General features: G+C 39.9%; 1 protein-coding gene across 123 annotated transcripts in view; it reads right to left on the bottom strand.

Annotated features, from left to right (window-relative positions):
* ABI2 (abl interactor 2) overlaps positions 1–13,938 on the bottom strand; it is a 103,776-nt gene that overhangs the window by 8,816 nt on the left and 81,022 nt on the right. For 58 of the 123 annotated variants that reach the window (NR_164713.1, NR_164707.1, NR_164711.1 and 55 more), the window contains one exon: positions 6,273–6,446. Coding sequence is in view for 108 of the 123 variants with exons in the window: in NM_001375719.1 (NP_001362648.1) it covers positions 6,273–6,446 (174 nt within the window). In the remaining 15 variants the exon portion in view is untranslated. Of the gene's footprint in view, positions 1–2,445; positions 2,551–6,272; positions 6,447–11,982; positions 12,070–13,938 lie in introns of all 123 variants that reach the window. The other 65 variants (NR_164705.1, NR_164715.1, NR_164714.1 and 62 more) reach the window with 5 other exon arrangements.

The following is a 13,938-nucleotide window of genomic DNA, read 5'->3' as shown; positions in this document are numbered from 1 at the left end:
TAAACTCCTGGAGGTAAGGGCCCATCACTCATCTCTGTGTATCCCTAGCGCCTAACACAAGGCCTAGCTTTTTGGATACTTCTAAATACATCTATATTCTATATTATTCAGTTACACAGTGAGTAATAAAGGTAACTTAAATACATATTGGGGGAAAAATTAAGGTGATACTAAAATAACAATGTAAAACAAAAAGGCCCAAAAGGAGCATGTTACATAGAAGTGACTGATCTGAACTAAAAAGACTGACCACCAAATATTGTAGGGTATTAGCAACCACACCTAACAATTAAGTACCCTAAACTAGCAAGCCACTGGAAAAATCAAAATGCTAGTAAGATTATCCATTTCAATATACTGTTTGTATTAAATTACATATTGTGAGTTGACATCATTTTATTTATATGGAAAAAAGTTCATCCTAAGCCAGCAAAACATTTAACATACTTTGGAATTTATGTTATAACCTGTCCTGAGGTAGAGCAAAGTTAACCTGGACACTATCAATGAAGAGTTGGTTAAACCACTTAATGTATTCTAAGAAATGTTTTAGAACCCACTGGAGATGCTGTTTCAATGAAAATAATGCTGCTTAACTAATACAGCCATATTCCTTCTGCCCCTACCACTCCAATGAAACTATTCACTTGAAAAAAACTGGCCTTCTACTTTTGAGCCTCTTCTCAGTTCTTTGTCTAATGTTCCTGTAGTGTTTGGCAATGATGATTACCTCTGCCTGCTTCTTGACATTTTCCTCCATGGCTTCCATGACAGTGTCTTCTCCCAGTTATCTGATTACTACGCTTCTGTGGAGCCAGGAAACTAGGAGTCATCTTTGCCTTCCCCTCACTCACCTTCCCCGACATCCCCAAGTCCTGTTAATTCCACCTTCTAAATCTCCCAAATACCAACACTCGACTTCTCTCCATCATCATAGTCACCGCCCCAGTTAGTGCACCCATCTTTAAAATTGATTACATTTATCACTCAGGGTACCTGAGATTTTCTAAGCAGTGTGGGTGGCAGACAGTTTATAGGGACTCTCGATATTTTTTTTCTTTTTATTGAGACAGAGTCTTACTGTCCCCAGGCAGTGGTGCAATCGCAGCTCACTGCAGCCTTCAAACTCCTGGGCTCAGGTGATGCTCCCACCTCAGCCTCCAGAGTAGCTGGAACTACAGGCATGCACCACCATGTCTGGCTAAGTTTTCTAATTTTTTGTAGAGACGAGGGTATCGCCATGTTGCCCAGGCTGGTCTTGAACTCCTCGTCTCAAGCAATCCGCCGGCCTCAGCCTCTTAAAGTGCTTTACAGCACTTTAAGGGATTACAGGTGTGAGCCACTACATGCAACTGGCTCTCTTTCTAGATTTTTTTTTTTTTTTTTTTTGAGACAGAGTCTCACTCTGTTGCCAGGCTGGAGTGCGGTGGCGAGTGATCTTGGCTCACTGCAAGCTCCACCTCCTGGGTTCAAGTGATTCTCCTGCCTCAGCCTCCTGAGTTGCTGGGACTACAGGCGTGCACCACCACACCCAGCTAATTTTTGAACTTGTAGTAGAGGTGGGGTTTCACCATGTTGGCTGGATGGTCTTGATCTCTTGACCTTGTCATCTGCCGGCCTTGGCCTCCCAAAGTGCTGGGATTACAGGCGTGAGCCACCATGCCTGGCCTCTTTCTAGATTTTCTAATCTTAAGTACTGCTTCCTAAAATTGATCTGCTTGAGATCATACCTTCAGTCAAGCAGTCATAAAAGTTTTTATATCCTTTTTGTCCTTCTACTTAAAAAAAGCACAGTGGTGCACTGTCTTAAAGTACAAAACACTGGGTGCCAAAGGGACCATTCAAAATAATGGTGCTCATATTAAAAGAATTACTCCACTGAGTAACTCAATCCGTTTGCAAATCAGGTGGCTCTTATTCCTTTGCTTTCAACAAAATTTAAGAAAGACCTTGATGATACATCATCAAACATGATTTTTGAAGATACGTTATTTGATTTTTGGCAAATAACTTTGAAAAGTGCAGTTACAATGCCACTTGAAAAATCCTTCTATTTGTATCTGCTTATTTATGTAAACAATCTTTTCAGCACCACTACCTTGGTTGAGGCCATTATCCCTTGCTTCAAAGTTTATCCAAAATGGTCTTTACAACTCCTACTTTTCCTCTCCAATGCACTCTACACTATTATCAGGTATCTCCAAAAAAAGTTACATAAGTAGATGGATATTATCATTAACCTTTTTAAAAATCCTCCATAATTTCCCTCTACTACCAGATTTTTTTTTTAATCCAACACCTTCGCATTGTCATTTTTAGCCACCCACCACCTAATTACAATTTATTCCCTTTGCGTGCTCATATCACCCTCTCTCCCTACAACCCACCCCCACCCTCATGCACTGGACACTGCTCTGCCCCAAACAGCCATGCCCTCTCACTCACGTGATTCCCTCAGCTTGGAAGGCCCTTCCTTTCTCTCTTCTCTGCCTGAGAAACTCCTATTCATCATTCAAGGCACCAAGAACGCCATGTTCTCTGAGAAGCTTTCTAGGAATTCCCCAGAAAGAATTAATGGCACTATTCATTTTTTAACAATCATTAATAGAGCATCCATGCTGACTTTTAGAGGTACGAAGATGAACCAGATAAGGGACTGTCGGCTGGGCGTGGTGGCTCACACCTGTAATCCCAGCACTTTGGGAGGCCGAGGTGGGCGGATCACAAGGTCAGGAGATTGAGACCATCCTGGCTAACATGGTGAAACCCTGTCTCTACTAAAAATACAAAAAATTAGCCGGGTGTGCTGGCAGGTGCCTGTAGTCCCACCTACTCAGGAGGCTGAGGCAGGAGAATGGCGTGAACCTGGGAGGCAGAGCTTGCAGTGAGCCAAGACCGTGCCACTGCACTCCAGCCTGGGCAACAGAGCAAGACTCCGTCTCAAAAAAAAAAAAAAAGGGACTGTCACAGTCTTGTGAAGACAGAAATGTTATCTGACAATTCCTATATATCATTTATACTTCTAGCTAAAAGCTGTATCACTGAGCCAGAAGAACAAAAGAATAGATGGCTTTACAAAAGTTAAGAGATACAAAACGGGCAGTAAAAAAGTTTTCCAGGGAGGACTTAATGCTCATAAACTGTAAAGCCAAGACTCAATCCTAGGTCTGCCAGATGCCAGAGCTCACGTTTAGGACAATGGTTAAGAGTGTGGGGTCTAGAGTTATACCACCCAGTCAAATCCCAATTCTAACACTTAACTATTAATAGTTTACAGTACATACTTAACTTTCCTAGGCTTCTTTTTATTCAACTATATAATGGGAATTACAATAGAGCTAACATTTCAAAGCATGTTTTTCTTGGAGATGGAGTTTCGCTCTTGTTGCCCAGGCTGGAGTGCAATGGGGCGATCTCAGCTCTCCCCAACCTCCGCCTCTGGAGTTCAAGTGATTCTCCTGCCTCAGCCTCCCGAGTAGTTGGGATTACAGGCATGCATCACCATGCCCAGCTAATTTTGTACTTTTAGTAGAGACGGGGTTTCTCCATGTTGGTCAGGCTGGTCTCCAACTCCCAACCTCAGGTGTTCGGCCCGCCTCAGCCTCCCAAAGTGCTGGGATTACAGCCCAAAGCATTCTTATATTAAACAAGGCAAACCACATAAAATACAAAGCACAGGCTGGGCGCAGTGGCTCACGCCTGTAATCCCAGCACTTTGGGAGGCAGAGGTGGGCAGATCACGAGGTCAGGAGATCGAGACCATCCTGGCTAACACGGTGAAACCCCGTCTCTACCAAAAAAAAAAAAAATACAAAAAATTACCCAGGCATGGTGGCAGGCGCCTGTAGTCCCAGCTACTCAGCAGGTTGAGGCAGGAGAATGGCGTGAACCCGGTAGTCGGAGCTTGCAGTGAGCCAGGATCACACCACTGCACTCCAGCCTGGGCGACAGAGCGAGACTCTGCCTCGTGGCTCACGCCTGTAATCCCAGCACTTTAGGAGGCCTAGGCGGGCGGATCATGAGGTCAGGAGATCAAGACCACCGTGAAACCACGTCTCTACTAAAAATACAAAAAAATTAGCGGGGCGCGGTGGTGGGCGCCGGTAGTCCCAGCTACTCGGGAGGCTGAGGCAGAAGAATGGCGTGAACCCGGGAGGTGGAGGTTGCTGTGAGCTGAGATCACGCCATTGCACTCCAGCCTGGGCAACAAGAGCGAAACTCCGTCTCAAAAAAAAAAAAAAAAAAAAGATCTTTAATTTAGGAAGGATATTTTTGCTAAGTAAAGAACACTGGGTTGACATTTTCCTTCATTACTTTGAAGATTTTGCTCAATTCTCTGACTTAACAGCTTTTTGATGAGAACCATGCAGTCATTCTTATCTTTGTTCCTCTGTATGTAATATGTCATTTTTCCTCTGATTATCTTTAAGATTTTCTAAGGTACTGGTTTTTAGCAAATTGATTATGATGTGCCTTGGCAAGATTTTCTTTTCTTCTATTTGGGGTTTATTGAACTTCTTGGATCTGTGAGTTTATAGTTTTGTGGGAGACAACTTCTAAAACAGCTCCCAATGATTTCTGCCTCATAGTATTCATGCCTTTATGTAATCCCTACCCCTTCAGTGTTGACTAATCCTATTAACTTGCTTTAATGAACAGAAAATGGCAAAAATGACAGGTCATCGCTGCTGGGTTAAGGTGAAAAAAGGACTAGTGTCTTGCTTGCATTCTCTTTTTGGCGCTTCTTGCTTGTTCATTCTAATGAAGTTAGCTGCCATGTTGTGAGCTGCCCTACGGAGAAGCCTATGTGATCCAGAATTGTGGGCAGCCTCTGGCCAACAGCCAATGAAGAAGCCGAGGCCGTCAGGCCAACAACCCACAAGGAACTAAATCCTGCCAATAACCACGAGTGAGCCTGAAAGCAGTCTCCCTCAGTCAAGCCCTGAGATCACTGCAGCCTCAGCTGATACCTTGATTGCAGCCGTGTGAAGAGTCCCTGAACCAGAGGGCCCAGCTGAGCCACGCAGAGAAACTGGGAGATAATGGATGTTTTGTTTAAGCCACTAAATTTTTGGAATAACTTGTTAGGTAGCAATACACAACTAATATAGTTTTCATCAAACGTGGAAATATTTTGTCTATGATTGTTTCAACTCTTTTTCCTCTCACATCTCCTGGGGACTCCAATTACACATACATAAAGACTATCTGACCTTGTCTCACATTATCTGTTGCTCTGTTTTCCTTTTTGCCTTTTTTTCCACTTTCTTCTCTGTGCCTTATTTTGGATAGTTTCTATTGTCATGGCATCAAGGTTGCTAATGCTTTCTTCTGCAGCATGTGTTTTTCGTCTCCAGAAATATTATGTTTCTCTTTCTCTCTCTCTCTCTTTTTAAAGATATATTCCACGTCTCTCTCATGTTCATGTTCTCCTTTACTTTCTTGATCACATGTGGTATTTATAGTAGCTACATAAAGAAAAAAATTAATTTCCTTCTCTCCAGTGCCTGTTGTTCAATGTCTGAAAACCATTATTTTGTGGGGTTTTAAAATTCCTGTTTTAGGAGGGAGGGTACACCTGATTACTGTTGCTCTCTCTTGGCCAAAAGTGGAAGCCTATTATTTCTTTATAAAAGCTCTCCAAGTGATTCTAATGTGTAGCCAGCTTTGAGACTCAGTGGGTTAGTAGCTTTGATTTTCTTAAAAGAAAATTTCCTTCCAGACAGCACACATTTTTTTCTGAGCTGATTAGTCTTGATGGATTTGAAAGCTTGTATCCCAAAGTGCTACATCATAATTAGCTAATATCAAAGAAGCTTTTCACTAAAAGAAATGCCCAATATTACTTGGCAAAGAAACTGAGAAACCATTATTCTGTGGAAGAAAGTTTCATGTGGAGACATTTAAACTGAAGTATCTGATTATAAGGTGACACAAACTAATGTTCTAAAGCATGGAGGTAGGAATAATAATGTGGAAAAATAATCTTCCTGAGGCCAAAGGAAAACAGAAAAACACTGATAGAAACCATTCATAAAAAGCATGTCCAATAGGAACAATATAGATAACCATCAGTTTTTTAAAATCAAATATTCACAGAATTTTACTAGTGTAACTTTCAAAATCATGAACCTTGTAAACTCAGTAAAAATGCACAAATACAAATAAATAGAACTTCACTTAGTAGAAAATAAGATTCTCTTCAGTACCGCAAATTTCATTTCTATGTAGAGGTTTCTTCCCATCTATCCAGATATCCTTCTGAAACTTACCCTTTTCCAAGTAAGAACGTGGAGCCCACGGTGGGTCCTCTTCAGCATAAGGATCACTATACTCAACCACAGCAGCTTCCTCCTCTTCGTAATCTTCTGGAGGAGGAGGAGGTGGGGGAGACTCATCAAAGACTGGTTCTTCCACAGGTGGCGGTGGAGGTGGTGTATCTGAAACTAAGAACGTATCAGGCTGACAACAAAACTATATGTTATGCAAAGTTCAGTATTTCCTATCCAAGCTTCTGGGTTCATGGAATATAAACCTAGACTTGAAAATAAATGTAATATTCCTTCAAAAAATCAATGAGCAAGATAAGTCTTCCCACCAACTATAACGTTCTAGAGCTCCAAGTATGACGTTCTCCCTCTCTTGCCCTTGGATTAATGCTAATGGACACTGAATAAAGTTTAGACAAAATAATTATTAACTGAGCCTCTGGAACCTGTTTATATTAACACAAATCCTCTTTCCAAAGAGATCAGTATGGCCAGGAGCGGTGGCTCGCGCCTGTAATCCCAGCACTTTGGGAGGCCGAAGCAGGCGGATCACCTGAGGTCAGAAGTTCAAGACCAGCCTGGGCAACATGGTGAAACCCTGCCTCTACTAAAAATACAAAAATTAGTCGCACATGGTCGTGGGCGCCCGTAATCCCAGCTACTCAGGAGGCCAAGGCACAAGAATCGCTGGAACCGGGGAGGTGGAGGTTGCAGTGAGTCGAGATCACGCCACTCCAGCCTGGGCCATAGGGCAAGACCGCATCTCAAAAACAACAACAGCAAAAAAAAAATAAACAATAAAAAATAAGAATAAAAAAACCCAGAGATCAGTACAATACAGCTGAGCTTTACACTGTATTCAAGGGTAAGTTATCAGAAATACTAACACTGAAAACCATATTTCACAAATTCTTAAAATATTTTTTCACTTAAATGAGTCCAGGGAATAGTAAAATTTTAATAACCCACTACTTTCCTCTTAATGAATTTTTCTAAAATAGCATTTTACCAAATTCAAGAGGAAAAAAATCATCAACAAACTTGGGTTACTTCATCTATGAGGATGTTTGTTTACTTATAGAATTTCTTCTAATTCAGACTATAATTCAGAATTTCTTCAGGCTAAATGTCCAAGTGTACTATCAGAGTAATTTAAAATATCTCACATGGAGATCTGCTTCCACAGCTTGCATACCAATATATAGTAACATCAAAAAGATTATCTTCAAACTCAGCTACCTTAAGCTTTCAAAATGGTTGGTAAATACGTGAGCACAACTGAACAGAATGAAATGAATAAACCTGTTTATCAGCTCCCCAGGTTTAATGAACAGCACTAATTCTTATTTATGAGGTACCAGTATAGTTCCCATGTGACTCTCTGAGCAATCCAATTTATTTAGTATTTTTTAATCTAAGCCTACGAATTGAATTAAATGGATTTTTTTTTTTTTTTTTTTTTTTTTTTGAGACGGAGTCTCGCTCTATCGCCCAGGCTGGAGTGCAGTGGTGTGATCTCGGCTCATTGCAAGCTCTGCCTCCCGGGTTCATGCCAATCTCCTGCCTCACCCTCCCAAGTAGCTGGGACTACAGGCGCCCGCCACCACACCCAGCTAATTTTTTGTATTTTTAGTAGAGATGGGGTTTCACCGTGTTAGCCAGGATCGTCTAGATCTCTTGACCCTGTGATCCGCCCACCTCGGCCTCCCAAAGTGCTGGGATTACAGGCGTGAGCCACCGCGCCCGGTGAATTAAATGGATTTTCAAAGACTGCTGATGCCTGGTGGGAGCAGCCACATCAACACCATGCTGTCTTATCAGTATTCTTCCCATCTGCTGTGCCCCTCTATACTGATCTACTTTATAAACTTTAAAACTTCAGTCATTAAATAGAATGTCTTTCATCCTAATAGTTTTTATTAATAAACAAAAGATATAGATATGTGATTTACCATATACTTGGGTGAGAAAGAGAAATTTATCCTATTTCCATTTGTAAGATAAAAAGACTGACTTTAAACAACTGCACAGAACCATAGATCCAAAGGAACTTTCAAAACAATAACCTTGAGAAATGACACTACAAAATTACTCAAAGATGCTGCCATTGGTCATTTTTACTTTTCTTGTAACTGCCAGTTTAATAAGCTACTACTTTTGACTTAAAATGTTCCAATTACTCAGCTAGTCCTTTGTAATGCATTATTTCATTTCATCTTTATATTGGGAGGTGGTGTTTTTCATTTTATAGATGTGGAGACTGGCTTTCCAAGATTAAGTATTCTGACAGCAAGTAAGTGGAAAAGCACCTGAACTCCAATGCCTATTATCTTAAAAGCTACACTATTATGGGATGGGATAAATTTTAAAAACTTCAAGTCATGCTTCATTAGTATTTATTCAACAAACATTAACTAATATGGCTGGATATTATGCTCAGCATTGAGAAAAGGGCAGTAGGCAAAAGTCATGAAGACATGAACGACCAAATCTTCATTTACAATTGAGTGTAGTGTGTGCTTTAAGATACTATAGAAGCACACAGCATAAACCACACTTGTTATGTGGGTCAGGAAAGGCTTCCTGAAACCTGAAGGAAGAGTAAGAGTTAATGGGGAGGAAGAGGGGAGGGTAGGATGGCAGAGGCATTGATATTTCATGTCAGATACAAAGAACAAAACAAGGCCAGGCGGGGAGGCTCACGCCTGTAATCCCAGCACTTTGGGAGGCTGAGGCAGGAGGATCATTTGAGCTCAGGAGTTCAAGCCCAGCCTGGCCAATATGGCGAAACCCCGTCTCTACTAAAAATACAAAAATTAGACGCACATGGTGGTGCACACGTGTATTCCCAGCTGCTCACGAGGCTGAGGCATGAGAATCACTTGAACCCAGGAGGGGAAGGTGGCAGAGAGCCAAGATTGCACCACTGTACTCCAGCCTGGGTGACAGAGTGAGACTGTCTCCAAAAAAAAAAAAAAAAAAAGACAATGCAAGTACAAAGGTAAGAAAGCAAGAAACTTTCAAAGAACTGTCCAAATTCAGTAGCCAGCTTCAGGAAGCTGAAGAGGATGAGGCAGGAAGGGCCTTACAGCAGTTTGGACTCTATCCAAAGAGCCATGGTGAGCCACAGAAAGATTTTAAGGGGAATAACAGGGTCATAGCTGTACTTCTTACCCCAGTATAACTGGGTCACTATAACTGGTTCCAAATTATTCCAGACTTCTTCCAAACATCAAACTTAATGCAGAGTGAGTATTTGCTACCAAGGAATATCTTCAAAATAATATACCTGGAAAGCTTTGAAGATAATTCCAAAGAATTATCTTTGAAGATGTACCAAAAGAAATGTATGTATTTTTCCAAGGTGAATGTTTTAAAGAGTTTAAAGACTTAAACATTCAAATAATGTTTATTATTTGACTAATGTTTAAGTCCTGCCACGTCTGTAAAATTAGTCACAGCACACCTCATACACAATTTTTTTATACGTTGTGTAAATGAGAAACGTATATGATTGTAGGAAAAGATGAAAAAGACCAATCCAAAAGGCAATCAACTGTGATAGGGTGGTCAAATTAGGGAATGACTTTTTAAAATATAGGTAGTGCTGCTATAATAATGTTTTGCAGTCATCTACTTAAGACATTCCTAAGTCTTAAAGTGATAGTCATGCACTTTACTATTAAATTAAAACAATACTTCTTAGGTTTGGTTCATGAAACATTTTGCTGTTTCTACAAAGCTTGCAGCTTTCACTGGTGACTGGCGAAAACCAATGACATCCTGCTTTAAATCCTATTCAACTTTCAAGTCTCATTTTTTGCTAAGAAAATAACCACTTAGTTGCTATACAAACATTCGTGTTTCATTAATGGATTAGTCTTCAATGTCAGTTTCAAAATCTGGCCTTTACTCCAGAAGCTGCTCAGAACCACTTTTGTTCAAAATGAATGACAACATCTCACAGAACATGCAGTAGCAATTGATTGGCAGAATTCTCTAAGGTGTACACTCATCACAATAGTAAAAACAGAAAAAACTCCCAGGGTATTATTCAAGTGACTACCATCATTAATCATTGTGATTAAACCGGATTTGTGATGGAAAAAAATTATTTTACTGTAATGACATTTACTTAGACTTTCCACCTTGTATGGAGTATGTAGAATGGAACCAGCATTGGAAAGTCCTTCAATTCTCGTACTGTAATTAAATCCTTTTCTACTTGGTATTTATCCTGTTTGGATGCAGCAGACATTTTTTAAAACCTGGCAACAGTGACCCTGTATCCCACACTTGACCTCACAAGCCTGGCAGAGGATCACACTATGGATGTGCTTGGCACATGCTGAACTATTAATAGTTGAATGTTGCTGAGAGGCAGTTTTCTCCTCGAGCCAGTGTGGGTCACACCCAAGCTAAAGAAGAGTCGGCCCCAATAGCATAATTTAAAACATATGAAATCAACCTAATTATATGTGAAAATAGCTCTTAAACTCAACAAAACATCTTATGAAGTCACGGTGTGGTAAACATTACAGGTGTTCATGGAGTACCTTCCAATAAACAAAAGTAAGTAAAATAGACTATTTTCAGAAATTAGCAAATAGAGATGCAAAGGCAGCTGAAAGACACTGAGCCCTTAGGCCAGTAAGACTGAATTATTAGTTAAAATACAACCACATCTAGAAGAATGTGCTGATAAAAGGGGGGCATTTGGTCAGCTACAGAAGCAGAAAAAAGCAGGGACCAAAAGTGCCTGCTATGTGTCAGATGCTTTTCCAAGTGCTGGGGAAACAGCTAGCAAGCAAAACAGGCAAAACTCCTTGCTCTTATAGAGCTTACATTCTAGTACTGGCAGTGCCCATTTCCAAATAAGCAGGAGTCCTAAGCCACAGATTGCAAATATTTCTACCCCACCAGTGAAGTCATCCATCCTTGTTATGAGATATATACACTGGACTACTTTGGTCTGATGACATGAGATCTTTAATATCATTCTCCTAGTTCAGATTCATGCAAATCATGTAACCTTATTATTGTGATGTGGCCCTCGCAAAGACTGCCCATAAGAAGAGGATTTGTCCATCATACAGTCTATGTTCACTGGTCTCTGTGACAGCAATTCCTCACTGAATGTTGATACAGGCCTCCTGATTTGTCATCAGCCTCCTGAGCTCCCTTAATGCTTCCCTAGAAGACTCAAGGTATGAACAAAATTAGTTACCTGAACAGGCCAAGGGAAATTCATTGCCAACCTATGAGGCTTCTTGGGAGACAGACTGGCAGCCTGGTCCTCTGAGCCCTACCATAAAAGGCCCTTCTGATATCTGGAATCACAAAACTGGAGGAAGATTCTCAGACCACCTATAATACCCATAAAACTCCAGTGATAAGAAACTAGACTACCACTTATCTGAGCAACCCAGAGAAAAAGATGGGATATCTAGTGATTAAAGATACCTCCTCAGTAGGATGTGATCTTTCTTTTCTTATATGTGCCTTATTTTATATGTATTTGTCTTATGTCTTTACTATTAGTTATTTAAAAGTAGAAAATTTCTCTATTTTATCTCCACTAGCCAGACAGTGATTTGTTCATAATATTGAAATGTTGAAGTATCAGCAAATGAATGACTATCCAGTCAATCACATATAAATGACATTTTATGCCTACAATCTGATCTACAGCATAAAGAAGACATAAACTTACTATTTTCTTGGACTCTGGCCACAAATCCCATTAAAGGTAACTGAGGAGTTACCTGTAGGATGGAGGGAGGAGGAGGAGCAAGAGATACTGCAAAAACAAAAAAGGTGTGGAGGATAAGGGATAAGGGCGAGTTACATTAAAAGGAAAGGATAATACAATAAAATAAACACATAAAGGAGGGAAACTACTATTCACAAACATTTTATCAGTGATCTCAAGGATCCCCTGTTGAGGGACAACTCATTAACACAAACAAAGTACTGGGGGAATTTTTAGTAAGTTTTTGAAAATCACAACAGGAGGCATTTATCATACACAGATATGTTAAATATATATATAACATAATCGTATGTTTTATATATATAAAACATAATCCCATTTTTATATATAACAATCATGTTTTATATATATATTATATATAATTGATCTTTTTTCATATCATTAACATCATGCCTTCTCAAGGAAAGCATTTCTGCAGATTACCATGATGTTGTTTTCTGAATTTTACCTTGGAAGGTTACAAGTTTAAATGTTTGTCAATACAGAGAGAAAAAAATATTACATCCCAACACTCTAAATGGATACTTTTATTACTCTAATTGTAGGCAAGTAAACTGGTTCTTCATTCATTAATTAGACAAATACTTACTGACTTCATACTAAGTAAGTGGCAAACACCTGCTAGGAAAACAGTATCAAAACCGTCCTCTGAGAATCGGGTGCTATGTCATTACAATTTTTCATAATCCCAACTCATTGGTACACTTCCTCCCTGATGGTATAGAAAAGTGCAGGCCTTAATCAAATCATTCCACTCTCCTTCCCAAGGTGTATTTCCCTGCACCTCAATCACCTGGCACAGTGCCTAGAACTAATAAACTGTCAACAGATGTTTAACATATATAATTGCACTAATAAGCCAGGTATGTGTGGAAACTAAAGCGGCAAAAAAAAGAAAGAAAAAAGATTACTCTACAGTTACAGTTTCCTTTAGAATGGGTACAAAGTAGGATATGCATTTTCTTATAAAGAGAAAATGCCTCTGTTAGCTCCAAAATACAGTTAAGACTAATAAAACTAAAAAGATGAACATGTCTCTGCTCTCAAGGAGATCACATTCTATTGAAACAGAAGAATACATGATAATCTTAACCCAACAATATTTGTAGCAATTCCCTGGAAGTAGTGGTGGAGGTAAGGAGGGCTACAATGAAATGACCTCTCAGCAGGGACTTGAAGAAGGGAACCTGCCAAGCTGACAGGGGTTGAGAAAGATAATCAAGTTGAGAGAAGCAAGTGAGGGTAAAGGCTCAGAGGCATAAAACAGCATAACCAGTTCACAGGACCAGAAATGTTTCCATATGGCTAGGAAAAGATACCCAAAGAGAAAGTAAAAAACCCAGAAATATCAATGGGAGGATATGAAATAGGGAAGGATCTTATATGCCTGGTGGAAGAGTGCTTAGTGGAAAGAGGTTGGATTTTCAGGTCACTCAGCCTCAAATCTCTGATCCATCATTTCCTGGCTGTTTGGATAGCTAGTCAATTAACTTCTTCAGGCCTATTCCATAAATGTGATATGAAAACAAGGTAATGCAACCTACTTCCAATAGTGGCTGCAAAGATTAAAAAAAGACAATGGATGTGGAAAGCCTAACCCAGTGGCTGGCACGTAATAAATCAAAGCAGTTTCTAGAAAAGGAGAGAACTTTAAAAGTGTGGGAAGAGAGTAGTTGGCAATTAATGATTTAGCTAGCATATCAAGGACAGCAACAAGCTGAAGGTCATTCTTAGATTTTTACCCTTCGTAACTATGAAGATGGAGATGTCACTAACTATGTTAAGCCTGGTAGGTAGTACTGGGAAAGAAATGGGATGGTAAACAGGTAAGTCAGGGAGAGATAATGATATGATATATTTGGGTTGAGATTATGCAAAATATCTACAGTTGATGCT

Source organism: Homo sapiens, chromosome 2 (genome assembly GCF_000001405.40).
Source record: "Homo sapiens chromosome 2, GRCh38.p14 Primary Assembly".
NCBI lineage: Eukaryota > Metazoa > Chordata > Mammalia > Primates > Hominidae > Homo > Homo sapiens.
The sequence above is the reverse complement of the archived record's forward strand: the minus strand, read 5'-3'. Positions and strand labels throughout refer to the sequence as shown.